Source organism: Homo sapiens, chromosome 18 (genome assembly GCF_000001405.40).
Source record: "Homo sapiens chromosome 18, GRCh38.p14 Primary Assembly".
Classification (NCBI taxonomy): Eukaryota; Metazoa; Chordata; class Mammalia; order Primates; family Hominidae; genus Homo; species Homo sapiens.
Genome location: NC_000018.10, coordinates 10,592,660 through 10,610,217, shown reverse-complemented (window position 1 = coordinate 10,610,217; position 17,558 = coordinate 10,592,660). Strand labels below are relative to the sequence as shown.

At 44.7% G+C, this 17,558-nt stretch overlaps 1 protein-coding gene across 1 annotated transcript, besides 2 other annotated features; it reads right to left on the bottom strand.

The window, feature by feature from the left end:
* Positions 233-732: an enhancer, noted in NCBI's record as "H3K4me1 hESC enhancer chr18:10609483-10609982 (GRCh37/hg19 assembly coordinates)". NCBI's record gives its function as "activates a minimal SCP1, AML or CMV promoter by ChIP-STARR-seq in primed H9 embryonic stem cells {active_cell/tissue: H9 hESC(primed)}" and the evidence as "EXISTENCE:reporter gene assay evidence [ECO:0000049][PMID:30033119]".
* Positions 733-1,234: an enhancer, noted in NCBI's record as "H3K4me1 hESC enhancer chr18:10608981-10609482 (GRCh37/hg19 assembly coordinates)". NCBI's record gives its function as "activates a minimal SCP1, AML or CMV promoter by ChIP-STARR-seq in primed H9 embryonic stem cells {active_cell/tissue: H9 hESC(primed)}" and the evidence as "EXISTENCE:reporter gene assay evidence [ECO:0000049][PMID:30033119]".
* On the bottom strand, positions 3,482-5,470 carry LOC124904248 (uncharacterized). The gene has a single exon (XM_047437981.1). It carries the CDS (start codon positions 5,369-5,371, stop codon positions 4,583-4,585), a length of 789 nt encoding a protein of 262 aa, XP_047293937.1. The 5' UTR covers positions 5,372-5,470; the 3' UTR covers positions 3,482-4,582.
* Positions 5,471-17,558: the final 12,088 nt, after the last annotated feature.

The window sequence follows — 17,558 nt, the reverse complement described above, 5'->3', positions numbered from 1 at the left end:
AATCTCAAAATGGTATAATTGAGCTACGATAAATTTAATTATAATTTAAAAAATACTGACATTATTTTTCACAGAGTTAATCAGATCACACTCTTACCAATTACATAAGTAGGCCTCTTCCTATGTAGGCTCAATAGCACTAAAAGTTTTTTAATAAAAATACTAATTTGGTTTGTGAAAAATCCCATAGGTGCTTTAATTAATCAACTAGTTCTATTTCAGTGAGTTGCCTATTCAGTGTGTGTGTGTGTGTGTGTGTGCGCGCGCGTGTGTGTGTGTGTATGTTTATGGCTGAGCCAGCCCTGCCTGGGCCACAGCTACCCTAAACAGAGAGGAAGGACTGTAGGTCAGAATCACAGCCCCCCTGAGGAGAGAGGTGTGTGAAGCAGAGTGGGGTGAGGTTCCCCCTCCCCTATGCAGGGGGTGAGCAGGATGAGGACAGGAGCCCAGGGAGTGGTGCAGACACAACTCCCACTTCCTGACACTGCTTTGGAGCTTGGGCTCCTTCAAAGCCGCCTTACAGATCCTAAAACCTTCATGGGGGCACAGCCACTGCATGCAAATAAGAGCTGTTACCTGTCTGTCCCTGGGCCTCCCTCTCCTGGGTTCTCACAGCTGACCCAGTGGGTGGAGGGGGGTCCTTGCTGTCAGCGTTGCAAGCCAAACCTATCCAGTGGGCACCCTGATGGCTGAACTCCCCTGGAGGCCCTGAGGGGTTTCCCAGCTGGGAGGGGCCATCTCAGGAGTGTCCCCACTGTCCCCCATTGCCCTCAGACCCCAAAGCCTTCCTGCCTCCCTGACACACCTGGGCATCTCAGTGTGAGGCCCGCAGTTTTCTAAAGCTGTTCATGGTGTGAGAGAGGGGCCAGGGCATCTGGGAACTGTAAACAAGGGTGCTGTCAGTGGAGGGGTGGTCCCTCCCTGAAAGGAGCCGCAGCCACCTGCTTTCCAGCTGTACCAGCAGGGCATGTGTGCTATTTCCTCTCTGTCGGTGTTTCCTGTGAACTCTGCCTCCCGGGTTCAAGAGATTCTCCTGCCTCATCATCCCCAGTAGCTGGGACTACAGGCATGCACCACCACATCTGGCTAATTTTTGTACTTTTAGTAAAGACACAGAGACAGGGTTTCACTATGTGGGCCAGGCTGGTCTCAAACTACTGACCTCAAGTGATCCTCCCACCTTGGCCTCCAAAAGTGTCAAGTTCCTAATTTCAATAACTAATCTCACAGATCGCTTTCACATAATGCTGTTTGCTGCATCTCCCAATTTTCAATTTGCGCAATTTTTATTATTTATTAGTAAGTATTATCTAATTTCATTGTGATTCTTACAGAGATTTGAGTTTAAAACTATGCTCTACATTTTCTCATATTGCAGCCAACGCTCCTGTGCATGAGTCTTCATATTTTGCAAGTCTACTTTGGGATAGATTTTGAGATGTTGGACGATGGGTCAAAGTGTTAGTGCTTATGCAGCTTTGCTAGATGTTGCCAAACTCCTCTCCACAGGTGCTGAGTCAGCTTTCTTCACAACAATGTGGGCACAACCACACTAACGTAGTTACATGTGAAACTTCTGAAATTTTGTCTTGAAGTGGTTTCTCAGTACAGTTTTAATGTGAACTTTTTCACATTTTGAATGAGATTAAAAGCCATTTGTTCCTTTGTTTCTCTTTGAACTGTTTATGTCTCTGACATGCTTACATGGGCTTGTTGGTACTCTTTTCTTCCCTGTTTTTAGAGACTTATTATATATTAAGTATATTAAAACCTTTGTGTTAGGCACAGAGTTTACTCACACCACACTCTCATCAGCCTCTCTTTTATCTATTTTTTTCCTTTATAACTATTTCAGATCATGTTTCCGTCCATCCCTGAGTCACCAACCCAAGTGTAAATAATGTGGACCACTCTTCCAAATAATCTCTACAGATACTTAAAGAATTCATAGAGTGTGTTTGCATTTTTGCATTAAATTATTTTCCCCCTTTAGGCCTCATCGGTTTTTTATTTTTTCTGAGATTTAAACTCATACATTTAATTTTATCCATGTGTGCCTGTGAGCCTCTTCCGTGACTTCCAACTGGTCAGCATTGCGTCAACCACACTTTCCTTATAAACGCCCTTGTGCCGAGCAGCCAGGTTGCTACTGATACCAGCTCCCTCCTACAGTGAGGACGCCTCCTGCATCTTTCCTGCCTCTGAACGACAGAGGGCTTGGTGCTTGGAGAGTGCACACTTAATGTTCCTGTGTGCTGAGGAAATCCCTCAGGATGGTTGACCTCCTAAATACTCCCAGTTGTGAGAGTTTGACTCCCCATAACCTAACTAGCAATTTATTTTGATTCTTTTAAATTGCAACATTAGTTGTCTGCTCAGCACTCACTGGTTTCATGCCTGACTGAGAAATAAGTGTGCAGTTCTGGAGTGTCCACGAGAACCCACGGGTTTCGCTTGCCCGGGCCGTGCTGGCGGGCGGACCTCCATCCCTCTCCCTGCTTCCAGCCCAAGGGGCTCTGGCTGCTCCCGCCACTCCCATCGCGCTCCGCCCCAAGCCCCATCGCGCTCCGCCCCAAGCCCCATCGCGCTCCGCCCCAAGCCCCATCGCGCTCCGCCCCAAGCCCCATCGCGCTCCGCCCCAAGCCCCATCGCGCTCCGCCCCAAGCCCCATCGCGCTCCGCCCCAAGCCCCTTTGCTTTCCCTTTGCCCTTCGTGGAGGGAGCCTCCCACAGAGACGTGCTGGGCTTCTCCACAGCCACTGCTTTTGCCTCAGGTGGATCTGAACCTATGTTCATATGACTTTTATTCATCCACATTTGCCTTCTGTAATTGCTTTGTTGTAATATTTGTCCATTTTTAATTAGGTTTCCATTTTATTTGTCTTTTCTATTTTTTTTCAGAATTCTCGGTAGTCCTTGCAAATATCTTTCCATTGTTTGATACCCTGTGCAATTTTACCTATTAAATCCTTCTTTGAACAAAACACCTTAAATAATAGTCGTGCGGGAACTCACAAGGTTATGTGGTTTCTCAGACAGAATAACACACCATGTACTCACTTTCGTCTGTCAAATTCACAGAAACCTCAGCAAGTTTGGCATAGTAAAGCATATGAAAGTGCACTCAATCACACATGATCAGAAGAATGCATATTCAAACCAGAGTTTCTCACTTCTACACCCACCAAAATAGACACGTTATCAGAGAGAAAAATGCAGAGGGTTGGTGAGGTTGTGGAGGAACTGGAGCTATCACATGTGACTCTGGGAACATACTTAATTTCATCCACTTTGATAAATGACTTTCTAGGGTGTACTAGAGTAATCGGTACCTGTGACCCTACAGTCCCACTCCTGCTACCTATGTCCAAAATACATGTATGAGGCAAGGATGCTGGTGTCCCCCTGGGGGGCTTTATAGCAGCGTCACTTCATGTAACTGTAGCAGGACAAGCCGCAGACAAAACCCCTCAGACACCGAATTAAAGCAGGAACGGCTTTATTCAGCTGGGAGCTTCGGCAAGACTCACGTCTCCAACAACTGAGCTCCCCGAGTGAGCAATTCCTGTCCCTTTTAAGGGCTCACAACTCTAAAAGTGTCTGCGTAAGAAGGTCATGATCGATTGAGCAAGCAGGGGGTACGTGACTGGGGGCTGCATGCACCGGTAATTAGAATGGAACAGAACAGGACAGGGATTTTCACAGTGCTTTTCTATACAATCTCTGTAATCTATAGATAACATAACCGATTAGGTCAGGGGTCAACCTTTAACTACCAGGCCCAGGGTGTGGTGCTGGGCTGTCTGCTTGTGGATTTCATTTCTGCCTTTTAGTTTTTACTTCTTCTTTCTTTGGAGGCAGAAATTGGGCATAAGACAATATAAGGGGAGGTCTCCTCCCTTATAACCATCATGATAAACAGAGTGAATGTAAAACATAGAGGGTGAAAACTCATTGTGCCAACTTCCTACAATGTAGATGTTATATATGGACAGGACCGAGCAGTACAAAATGCTGAATGTGTCATCACAATGGAACATAGGTGAAATTTACATGATATTCACGTGTAATTTTCATTCAGGCACAAAAGAGTGCATACTGTAGGTTTCCATTTATACAATGTTTAAAAATAAATTTAAAATATGTTGATCATGACCAGAATAGTGAGTGTCTCTTGGAAGTTACTGCCTAGGAATTAGCCAAAGAGCGGCTGCCAGGGTGTTCATATCTGGGCGGTGGTAACACAGTGTTTGTCAGAAGGCAACAATCTGTACAGGTAATATACTGTGCACTGCACCACAAGTAAAGCAACCATCAAATAAAAACAAAGTAACACAAACTATTTTTCCATACGCAAACTTCCATCCTTACTGTCCCCTCTGAGTCCATCACATATTTTAAATAGAAGTAACTCCAATCTTGCATGCACACTTCTGGATATAGAGGGAACACACAATGCTCTCTCTTTTAATCGGGACAATCATGACAGCAAATTCAGCAAAAGACATCACAAGAAAGGCGAATTAAAAGCCAAACTTGGCTGGGTGTGTGGGCTCCTGGGGACAGTGGGGTGTCCCCTCCCCTCACTCCAGCTGCCCTGATTTTCCAGCACAGGATTTGCTGGCCATGCCCTTCACTCTGTTTACACATCGCCCCCAGCTGTGAACCCCTCTAGGACCTGGATGTGACTCAGTGTTCAGCACCCCTAGGGTCTCACAGAGCACTGGATACTTATGCCTGTGCCCAGGAAGTACGTACTGGATGAAAGATAACACTAGGCCATTGATGGCTACGCTGGAAGGAAAACCCAGGGGCAGGGAGGTGACGTCTCCCTCATCTCTGAATCTCAGTTCTGGGCTCCCTGGTGCCACAGTCATTAACCACGTGCATCTGTATTTTAAATTAATTTTCAAATGTAATCTCCAGTACCTCATCACACCAGGCATATTTCCAGTGCCCGATAGCCCTGTGCTCACAAGGCAGAGGGAATATTCCCGTCTGTGCAGAACAGGCTCGTGGCAGTGGCTCCAACCTGGGACAGTGTGTTTGTGAATCACCGACCTGTAGGGTTGGAGCCCCACATTGATAAGGCTGGTAGGGAGAGCTGCAATGATCCGGAAGAGAGGGGAGTGGCACGTGGAAAGGGGGTCCTCTCTTGATGTGAACGTTTGCAAATGTGAGCAGTGACTTGTTGAAGGTCTCTGATTCCAGAGAGCCCAGGTTAGTTCTGAGAAAGCAGAGGACGGAGCAGGGAGTTGCTGTGGCAGCTGGTGTGGCCTCCCCTGCAGCAGGGAGGATGGGTAAGTGCCTCTGGGTAACACCTTTCTTGTGGTACTTGTGTCTCCAGAGCTTGGATTGGCAACAGGAGACATGACTCCAGCAGTGACGATGATGACGCTCCAGGTAGATGGGCACCCTTGAGAGGGGACGCCATGAAAGTGGCTTCCCGGGAGCAGTCCACTCAGGCCTGCAGCTTTGGAGACCAGGGAAGGAAGAGGGAGATGAAATTAGAAAAAAAGAAAATGTGTTATGTTTAAATGTTCATGACAGTAAAAAAAAAGTGATTATGTCTAGGGCCTTTGAGTGTTGTGTTTGTCATCATCTTTTCTTGCTTTGCTTCTCAAACATTATCTTTCCCTCGGGACCTGCTATTTTCTGCCTCTTCCACACCAAATCCCAAACACTTGGGTTCTATTGGTTATCATCTCTTGAGAATCGGCTTGGTTTCTCCTGACTGCTTAGAATAAAATGCAACAAGAGACTGGGTTTTGGTGCTGGCCTACCCTGCAGGATGTCCGTGGGTGCAGCTCTCCCCAGGGCACTCGACACTGGGAGTCAGGTGGGGGTAGAGGAAGTGAGTCTCTCCTCTCTGCACTCTCAGGCGGGGGTTGGGGGTGGGCCCCTCCTGTCTGCACTCTCAGGTGGGGGTGGGGACTGGGCCCCTCCTGTCTGCACTCTCAGGTGTTGTTGCAGCAACTTAGTGCTTCTGCCCCCTCTGCTGACTCCTGCTTTGATAGTAAGGGAGGAGACCACCCCTCATATTGTCTTATGCCCAATTTCTGCCTCCAAAGAAAGAAGAAGTAAAAACTAAAAGGCAGAAATGAAATTCACAAGCAGACAGCCCAGCACCACACACAGCCCAGCCCTGGTAGTTAAAGATAGACCCCTGACCTAATCGGTTATGTTATCTATAGATTACAGAGATTGTGTAGAAAAGCACTGTGAAAATCTCTGTCCTGTTGTGTTCCGTTCTAATTACCGGTGCATGCAGCCCCCAGTCACGTACCCCCTGCTTGCTCAATCGATCACGACCCTCTCATGCGGACCCCCTTAGAGTTGTGAGCCCTTAAAAGGGACAGGAATTGCTTACTTGGGGAGCTCGGCTCTTGAGATAGGAGTCTTGCCAATGCTCCCGGCCGAATAAAGCCCTTCCTTCTTTAACTTGGTGTCTGAGGAGTTTTGTCTGCTACTCGTCCTGCTACATTTCTTGGTTCCCTGACCAGGAAGCGAGGTGATTGGCGGATGGTTGAAGCAGCTCCTTAGGTGGCTTAAGCCTGCCCTGTGGAACATCCCTGCGGGGGACTCCGACCAGCCCTCCGCTCTCTGACGTGGATCATGAGAGCATCCTGGGCAGGCAATTGCCCCAGTGGGACGCCTCGCCAGAGCAGTGTGTAGCAGGCCCCCGTGGAGAATCAATGCAGTGGCTGAACACCGGGAAGGAACTGGTACTTGCAGTGCAGACATCTGAAACTTGGTAAGACTAGTCTTTGGAACCTGCAAACCTGCCTACTCCATTTGAGTGGAAGCGTGGCCTGATCACCCACAGTGTGCCTTTATTGGCACTTTGGTTTTTGTTTTTGACTTGACTTGGATTGCTTGATACTTTGGTTTTGGTTTTGACCTGGCTTAGATTTCTGGATACTCTGATTTTGGTTTGGTGTAAACTGCAAAAGTGTGTGTGTGCCCTTTTTACCTGTTCTTTGTTTTGTGGTGTGCGTGTGGTGTGAGTGTTGTGTTTTGTCTTGAAGAAGCATGGGTCAGGCACAAATAAGCCCATCCTACTAGGAACCATGTTGAAAAATTTCAAAAAAGGATTTAAGGGAGACTATGGAGTACTATGACACCAGGAAAACTTAAAACTTTGTGTAAAATAGACTGACCAGCATTAGAGGTGGGTTGGCCATCAGAAGGAAGCCTGGACAGGTCCCTTGTTTCAAAGGTGTGGCACAAGGTAACCTGTAAGCCAGGGCACCCAGATCAGTTCCCATACATAGACGCTTGGTTACAGCTGGTTTTAGATCTCTCCACAGTGGTTGAGAGAACAGCAGCATAAGCGAGGCAGAGAGAGAGACACAGAGAGGAGAGAGAGAGAGGCAGAAAGGAGAGAGAGAGGAGAGAGAGAGAGGCAGAGAGGAGAGAGAGAGAAGCAGATAAACAGAGGAAGAGACAGAGGCAAAAGGAAAGTCAAAGAGAGAGAGACAAAGTCAAAGAGAGAAAGAGAGATATATACAAGTAGCTAAGAAAAAACAGTTTATGTGCAAGGTGTATAAGGAAATTAAAATATACCTTTGGTAAAAGAATTATAAGGAGGCATAAGAATATAAATTTTTACCTATATTAGAAGGTTAAAAATGTGTATACTTTGTTTTAAAGGTTTAATCAAGTTTTAAAATGTACACTGAAAAGAAAATTCTGTGTGTAAACATTGGCTAAAGTTAGAGGTATCATCCAGTTTTGCTGTAAACTGGACATTAAAATAAAAGCATAGCAGATTTTTCTTAAAGCACCAACCTGCTCTTTAGCAAAAATTATAAAAGGTTAAAAAGAGTCTATAAAATCTTACCTTATGGTCAAACATTAAAAATTGGATAAATATGTCTACAAGGTTTTATTAAAATTAGGTTTAACATTAATAACACACTAATATAAAGGTAAAATTTAGCTTATCTGGTATAAAAATCATACAAATAGCATTGCTAAATGTAAAGTGGTATTTGCCTTTCTTTGGTTTAAAAACTAATAAAAATAGGTGCTAACGGAAATTTCTCAGTAAGAAGGCACCAAGGACTATAAAGTCCACTGCCAAGGTCCCCACATTTAAAACAAAAGGTCAATTTCTTAGAAATTATATACTCGGTGTATCTTCCACTTTCCTTTCCCTCAAAAACTAAAAGTCTTTTAGTACAGGTACCACCCCTAGAATTTCCGGTAAACCAGCACCAGCCTGAAAATCACGTTCTTATCAAAGGGTGGAAAGAAGAAAAACTCGAGCCAGCCTGGGAAGGACCCTACCTTGGGCTGCTAACCACCAAGACTGCTGTTTGTACAGAAAAAAAAAGGGTGGACTCACCACACCCGAGTCAAGAAAGCGCCACCCCTTCCAGAGTCGTGGGCCATAGTCCCAGGGGAAAACCCTACCAAACTAAAGCTGAGAAAAATTTAATTCTTTTCATCTATTCTATTACTCTTTCTTCTTTCCTTGCTCTGTTGCTGACCATCTGGTTATTAACATAACCAAGTCAATTTCACCTTGAACTATTGCATTTAATGCTTGTCTTGTTAGACCCTGTGGGGACTTGCCAAGTCGAAGACAGCTCTCTACTTCAGAAAAGTACCTCTGTCCCTCCTGACTCTCCTCAGACTGGGCATTAGTAAACTAGGACCATTTAATCCGGGCAGATTTCAATAAAGACCCCAGTGCCAACCAGGAGTCTTACCCCCAATGTAGAGCTTTAATGCCTTAGTTGGTCCAATGTTCTGTGGACCACTAAAGAGCAAGGATGGACTGCCCCAACCGGTTTTTGTAATTTCCTAAAATCATACATTCATTTTACTAGAGGATCATAGAAGTTAAAGACTTAAAACAAACTTTGGCAATTAAGACAGCATACCAAGATGCAAATACCTGGTTAAAATTGATCAAATATTCCTTCTGCATGTTAAACAAAAGCAATTGTTATTCTTGTGCACATGGCAGGCCAGAGGCCCAGATTGTCTCGTTTCCACTAAGGTGGTCCTCCAGTTGACCAGGCGTAGGCTGCATGGTAGCTCTTTTCCAGGATTCTACAGCCTGGAGTAATAAGTCATGCCAAGCTCTCTCTGCTATATCCCGAAGTCCGGCACCCTGCGGGTCAGCCCCTGAGAGCCATCCAGCTTCCATCTCCCAACACTAAGTTCACTTTGTGTCTCTCACGACAGGCAGGAAACAGCATTCCTTGGAGACCTGAAGGGATGCAATGAGCTTAAGAATTTTCAAGAGCTTATCAATCAGTCAGCCCTTGTTCATCCCTGCGCGGACGTGTGGTGGTATTGTGGTGAACCTTTACTGGACACTCTGCTGAATAACTGGAGTGGCACTTGTGGTTTAGTCCATCTGGCTATCCCTTTCACCCTGGCATTTCATCAACCAGAAGGAGAAAAAAATAAGACATCGTAAAGCGAGAGAAGCCCCTTATGGGTCTTTCAACTCTCACATCTATTTAGATGCAATTGGAGCCCCACAAGGAATAACAGATCAATTTAAAGCTTGAAATCAAATAGCTACAGGATTTAAGTCAATATTTTAGTATGTGACAGTTAATAAAAATCTAGATTAGATAAATTACATCTATTACAACCAACAGCAACAAGCTTTTCATGAATTTAAACAAAACAAAACAAAACAAAAAAAACTCATGTCGGCCCCAGCCCTGGGGCTACCTGACCTGACAAAACCCTTTACACCCTGTGTATCACAAAGAGAAAAAATGGCAGTTGGAGTTTTAACCCAGACTGTAGGGCCCTGGCCAAGGCCACTGGCCTATCTCTCAAAACAACTAGACGGGGTTTCCAAAGGCTGGCCCCCATGTCTAAGGACTCTGGCAGCAATGGCCCTGTTAGCACAAGAAGCAGATAAGCTCACTCTTAGGCAAAACCTAAACATTAAGTCCCCCATGCTGTGGTGACTTTAATAAACAGCAAAGGACATTATTAGCTAATGAATGCTAGACTAACTAGATGCCAAAGCTTGCTCTGTGAAAATCCCCGCATAACCAGTGAAGTTTGCAACACCCTAAACCCCACCACCTTGCTCCTGGTATCAGACAGCCCAGTTGAACATAACTATGTAGAGGTACTGGACTCAGTTTATTCCAGTGGGCCCGACCTCCGAGACCAACCTTAAACATCAGTAGACTAGGAGCTGTACGTGGATGGGAGCAGCTTCGCCAACCCCTGCAAAGTGACTCTGAAAAAGACAACAAGCCCTGCTCCAGTCACACCCGGGAGCTGACTGGTCCATGCACAGCCGAAGCATGAGAAAACTCATCGCGGGACTCATTTTCCTTAAAACTTGGACTTGTACAGTAAGGACTTCAACTGACCTTCCTCAGACTAAGAGCTGTTCCCAGTGTATACATCAAGTCACTGAGGTAGGACAAAAAGTCGCTACAGTCCTATTATTTTATGGTTATTATAAGAGTACTGGAACTCTAAAAACAAAGCTTGTTTGTATAATGTTATTCTATGCAAGGTACGTAGCCCAGGAAATGACCAACCTGATGTATGTTATGACCCAGCTGAGGATCCCATGACCACAGTTTTTAAAATAAGATTAAGAACTGAAGACTGGTAGGGCTGTTCACTTTCGTTTATAAGTAGAATGAGTATATACTCTAATATAATGATAAGGAAAATAGCATGGTAAATACATAAACCAGTGAAAGTCATTCGCTGTCATTATCAAGTATGATGTACCGCACATAATTACATGTGCTGGACTTTTACACGACTGGCCATGAAGCAAGTGTGTTTATACCAGCACCGCCACTAACACATGAGCAATGCATTGCTATACAACTTTACTATGGCTCTGACATCACTGGACAATAGGGATTTTTCATCTCCATTATAATCTTATGGGACTGCATGTTCATATGTGCAACCCATCATTGACCAAAACGTTATCTGATGCATGACTGTATTTTGTGTCTTGCTTTCCTGCTAGAGTAATGCTTCTTAAGCATGCATTTACAGTTGACTCTCATGATTCATAAATTTGGACTTGACAAATCTGCCTACTCGCCAAAATTCACATGTAACCCCAAAGTCAATACTCACAGTGCTTTTGAGGTAATTCACAGGCATGCATGAGTGACACAAGATTTGAGTTGCTCAAATGCACGTTCCCAGCTGAGGTGGAACAAGGCGATGCTCGGCCTTCTTGTTTTGGCTCACGCTGTGAACAAGCTTCCTTAGCATGGTCTAGTTAGTGTCATTTTGCCACATTTTTGTGCTTCCTGTTGATTTTGCTGTTGAAAAGGCCCCAAGCACAGTGATTTCGTGCTGGCTAGTGTTCCTAAGAGCAAGAAGGCTGTGATGTGCCTTACAGAGAAAATACGTGTGTTAGATAAGCTTGGTTTAGGCATGAGTTTTAGGGCTGTTGGCTGTTATTAATGTTAATATATATTAAATAAGGTGTCTTTAAACAGAAACACAAATAAAACAAGGTTATGGACTGGGCACGGTGGCTCATGCCTGTAATCCCAGGCATGATTGGGAGGCTGAGGTGGGTGGATCACCTGAGGTCAGGAGTTTGAGACCAGCCTGGCCGACATGGTGAGACCCCCGTCTCTACTAAAAACACAAAAAATTAGCTGGGCGTGGTGGTGCGCGCCTGTAGTCCCAGCTACTCAGGAGGCTGAGGCAGGAGAATCACTTGAACCCTTGAGGTGGAGGTTGCAGTGGGCTGAGATCGCACCACTATACTCCAGCCTGGGTGACTGAGTGAGACTCCATCTCAAAACAAAACAAAACAAAACAAAACAAAAAATACCCCAAGGTTATGCATTGATTGGCTGATGAAAATGTCTTGGTCAGAGGCTTGCAGGAACCTAACCCTATAATTCCTCTAGGGTCAAAGGTTTTAGTATTTACTAATTCACTGTTTGCAGCAACTTTTAGAACAAAACTACCATGAGAAATGGTTGTATTTTGTATTCCCCAGTACAAGCTAACACAATGTTGGCACATAGAAAATGCTTAATAACTGCCTGCTGATTCACTGTGAAAAAGAGAGAGAAGAGAACCTAACTTTTCTTCCAGTGAAGTTATCTGATATGTGTTTGTTTGTTCATTTGGTTTTTTTTTTTTTTTTTTTTTTTAGATGGAGTCTCGCTCTGTTGCCCAGGCTGGAGTGGAGTGGCACAATCTCAGCTCACTGCAACCTCCACCTCCCAGGTTCAAGTGATTCTCCTGCCTCAGCCTCCTGAGTAGCTGGCATTACAGGCATGCACCATCATGCCCGGCTAATTTTGTGACATGTGTTTTATAGTTTGCATAGTGTGCAATGATTTTTTATTTGGCTTGTGTAAATATCCTCCCAAATCTGATTCAACTAAGATTGAGAATATTCCCGTATATGTTGTTCCCTAATAACTGTATAGCTTATATAAGCTAAATTTGTATGAAAAAAATTAGAACATGTCTACATTAAAAGATCAAGGGCTCAACATTCTCATTTTGGGTCGGGAGAATGTTTCCTGTCATCTAGCTCAGCGGCTCAGTAATTTTCAAATTTTTATTTTATATAACACTAAAGGAATGCTGAAAAACTATGTACTGCCCCACCCATTCTAAGTTGTCCACTAACATTTTTTTTCTATTCTTCTTCTTCTTCTATTTATTTATTTATTTATTTTTATTTTTATTTATTTTTTTGAGACGGAGTCTCGCTGTCGCCCAGGCTGGAGAGCAGTGGTGCGATCTCGGCTCACTGCAGGCTCCGCCCCCTGGGTTCACGCCATTCTCCTGCCTCAGCCTCACCAGGTGCCCGCCACTTCGCCCGGCTAATTTTTTTTTTGAGACAGGGTCTCACTCTGTCACCCAGGCTGTAGTACAGTGATGCAATCTCAGCTCACTGTAGCCTCACCCTCCGGGGCTCAAGCAACCCCCCCACCTCAGCCTCTCAAGTAGCTAGGGTTACAGGAGCACTCCACCACACCTGGCTAATTAAAACCATTTTTTTTTTTTGTAGAGATGGGGTCTCACTTTGTTGCCCAGGCTGGTCTGGATGTATGGAATTCTTAGGATGGCAGTGATTGACCCAGCATACTGAGGAATATAATTTTGGGTTTTATTATTTGATGGGCATATTCCTGGTGGCGTGGATGTATAATAATTGGGAAATCTGCAAAATCCTTAGTGAATTGTGGGCACTTATGTTTTCTTATTTAGAAATTTATTCTTTTTGTCATTTCCAGAATGTATTAATGGTATGATCTTCCGTGAGTGACAAAGGAACTGGAAGCCAGGGACCCCTGCATAGGATGTACATGCTGCTCACACAGGAGTAAGCACAGTGCCTGGCTTACTTACAGCATCACTGTCTTTGTGATCTCAACTATTCATCTCAGAGCAGGGCGGATCATCTCAGATGGGGTGGTGCAAATCTGCAGGCAGCTAGGCAGACTAGCCCTCAGATGAGACATGGCACAGGCAGGATTCGAAGAGGGGACTCTGTACCTGCCAGAACTGATGCTGACAATTTGTAAAAAGATAGTATATCTTGGCAGGATTGACATATTACAGTGCGGTGGCCTGTTCTGTGGCAGCTGGGAGGAAGAGCAGCTTTTTTTTGTTTTGTTTTTTAACCTTAGGAAATTAAAATCTTTCCTAGTTGACCTTAAATCCTGAAACAAGTCAGGCGCGGTGGCTCACACCTGTAATCCCAGCACTTTGGGAGGCTGAGGCAGGTGGATCACCTGATGTCAGGAGTTCGAGATCAGCCTGGCCAACATGGTGAAACCCCATCTCTACTAAAAATACAAAAATTAACTGGGCGTGGTGGCACATGCTTGTAATCCCAGCTACTCAGGAGGCTGAGGCAGGAGAATCGCTTGAACCCGGGAGGTGGAGGTTGTGGTGAGCCAAGATCGTGCCATTGCACTCCAGCCTGGGCGACAGAGTGAGACTCCATCTCAAAAAACAAACAAACAAAAATCCTGAAACAGGTCAGCCTTTCTTAGATTCTGTCCATCTCAAGCCTGTAGGGCACACCCTGGTGTGATGAGTAGTTCTATCTTCTCTCTTTCTGTACTACACGCCTTCCCTCTGTAGTACATGGAAATGCTACTCTTCTGGCTGGGTGAGAACTGAATCATTCCTCTGCTCTTGCCTAGAGCCCGGGGAGAAGTCCTGGCAGCAGGTCCCTGGCTAGGATATTGATATAGAGTCATAGAAAAACTGGTAAGAAAAAGAAACACAAGTCATTCTTTTTCTGCTGCTGGCAGAAAAAAAAAAAAAAGGAACATGCATTAAAATTCACAGGACTTTGGCTAGGTGCAATGGCTCATACCTGTAATCCTAGGAATTTGGGAGGCTGAGGCAGGAGGGTTGCTTGGTGCTAGGAGTTTGAGACCAGCCTGGGCAACATAGCAAGATCCCATATCTGCCAAAAAAAAAAAAAGAGAGAGAGAGAAAAAAAAAGAAAATTCACAAAATTCACAGGACTTCTAAGATAGCCATAAAAATGTAAAATTTAAGTAAAAATAATGAAGTAGGGATCGTGTTTCTACATTGTGAGTTGGGCAAAATGTGTGGAAGTTTTATTGTTTTGTGTAACATTTAGCACATGTAAGTCATATATGTATATATAGGATGTGCCCACTGTGGGGTGTGTGTTGAGTCTAGGTGTTGGGGGACATTTGCGCTTGGCATTTGCTAAAAGTCAAGTGACTGGTGGGGTGGAGAGGCCAGGGCCACAGTAGTTAGTATGCTGTGACAAAGAGTGGTGGAGTGGTCATCTCAAGTCTTCACTGCCATAGCTCACCCGCTCCCCAAACCCTACTGCTGCAGGAGGTCACACGCCACCTGCGGATGGAGCAAACACATGCAGACAAGACAGGCCCCCCGCCACTGCTGGCACACGGGACACCCACCCAGCCTATGGTCCTGTCTCTGGCTGGACAACGTAATCAGAATAACAGGTAATCCTTACTGAGCACTAACTATGTGGCAGACACATGTCCAACAATTAATATATAGTAAAGTGTTTAATTCTTACAGCAATATTGTGAAGTAGGTACTGCTATTTAGTTTATATTTCTTACCTTTTTCCTTTTATTTTTAATTCTTTTCTGAAGTGTTAATTTCTAAGTTTTCCTAACTTAGATTTATGTTATTACTTCATATGTTCTATTTACTCCCTTCAGGTCTTGAGCTTGTTCTGAAACTGTAGGCTACAGCTTTTATCTGTTTCGTGGTCATGTCTCTGTGGTATGCTTTCATTGTGTGTGCAAATGTCTTCTTCCTCCCTTCCTCCCCTCTTCCCTTCCTCCCTTCCTCTCTCTCTCTCTCTTTCTCTCTCTCTTTCTCTCTTTCTCTTTCTTTCGGTCTCGCTCTGTTGCCCAGGCTGGAAGTGCAGTGGCGCAATCATAGCTCATAGCACCCTCAACCTCCCAGGCTCAAAGTATCCTCCCACCTCAGCCTCCTGAGTAGCTGGAACTACAGGTACATGCCACCATACCTGGCTGATTTTTGATTTTTTATTTTTTGTAGAGATGAGATTGCTGGGATTATAGGCATGAGCCACCGCACCTGGCCTTCATTGTTTTTCTGATGATAACTTTGTACATCTTTGATGTCATTTCTTCTCAAGTGCTCCTCCTTAGGCAGGTTACTTCTCCTTAACACCTAGAAGGAGGCAGAGTTCCGGAGAGCTTTTGCAACTTCACCTAGTGTCTTGGTTCATTTGGGCTCCTTTAACAAAATGCCATAAACTGGGTGGCTTATACACCACAGAAATTTATTTTTCACAGTTCTGGAGGCTGGGGAGTCCAAGATCAAGACTGGACTTGACAAATACAGACATTGGTAGATTCAGTGTCTCGTGAGGTCCTGCTTCCTGGTCCACACAGTGCGTTCCTGCTGTGTCCTCAGGTGGCGGTGGTGGAAAGGATAGGGAGCTCTCTGGGGCCTCTTTCATAAGGGCACTAATCCCATTTGTAAGGGCTCCACCACCAACACACAATCACCTCCCAAAAGCCCTTCTTCCTAATACCATCACATTGGTGATGAGATATCAACACGTGCATTGGGAGGAGTGAACACAAACATCAGACCATAGCACCTCACAAACTTTTCTGTTGTTTTAATTAGTGTGCTAAAATAGGGAAGCTTGCCTTAGGAAATTTCCCTTTTCTCACCTTTTTCTGCACTTTCTTTTTCTTACATTTCTCTAGTCTACATCTGCAAAATTCTCATTCCATCTTAAGAGTCTCCCCTCTGTGAGGGGTCTTAATCCCGGAAGGAAGGATTGCTCTAGGCTTTCAGTTCTCACCATGGGCCCCTTGCACTCACTCACTACTGCATGGGGCGAAATCCTTCCTGTTTTCAGCTGCTGTTCTTGCCACACTTTCCTGGCGGAACCTGATGCTATTTTTGGATTCTCCTCTCTTCATGTCCACCACATGCTTTGTCATGCCCTTGTTTTTATCTGTGCATTTGCTGACTTCACTCAGGTCTTGCAGCTGTCTGTGGTTCCTCCTCACGCCTCTTACATTTGGGGTTTGTGGGGATACCTTGTCAACTAGTTTTGTTCTAAACCTTGTGTAGGGATTTTTACTTTTGCCATTTAGTTGCTCGATCCATAGCATCTAATGGATAAATGGCTCTTCTTCCATGTTTATTAGGAAAAAAAAGAGGAAAATTTTAATGAGTCATTTTCAATGATTTGAACTATGGACTCTGTCTTGAACTAAGCACATGAATGCAAAATAATCACAGTAACTCTCCCAAGGAAGTTCTAATAACCAAGCTGCTTAAAAGGAATTACCCTGAAAAGTAACTAAATCAAGGCTCCCTAAACCAGAATCTCTGACAACCATGTAGCACATCTTACTGTTTTCCACTCATTCCATACATTTTGATTGAGAATTAGTGATGTGTTGGATTCTACTAAATGCTATCATGGTTATAAATAAGTATGAAGCTTGGCCCTTCTCTCAGGGAGTTTCAAATCTGTCTGGGATTGTATTAGACACAGGAGGTAGGAAGATAATTTGTAAATTATAATGACATAAAATGTATCAATCATTTAACATCTCAGTGCAGACTGACTAAAATGTATCATGTGACAACCTCCCCACCCCCCATAGTTCTCTGTAATTATTTGTTTGAGACAAGGTCTCACTCTGTTGCCCAGGCTGCAGTGCAGTGGCAAGATCTCAGCCTTGACCTCCCGGGCTCAAGCAGTCCTCCCACCTCAGCCTCTCAGGTAGCTGGGAGTATAAGAGCATGCCACCAAGCCCGGCTAATTTTTTTTTTCTATTTTTATTTTTTTTGAGATGGAGTCTTGCTCTGTCGCCCAGGCTGGAATGCAGTGACGCAATTTCGGCTCACTACAACCTCTGCCTCCTGGGTTCACGCTATTCTCCTGCCTCAGCCTCCCAAGTAGCTGGGACTACAGGTGCTCGCCACCACGCCTGGCTAATTATTTTGTATTTTCAGTAGAGATGGGGTTTCACCGTGTTAGCCACGACGGTCTTGATCTCCTGACCTCGTGATCCACCCGCCTCGGCCTCC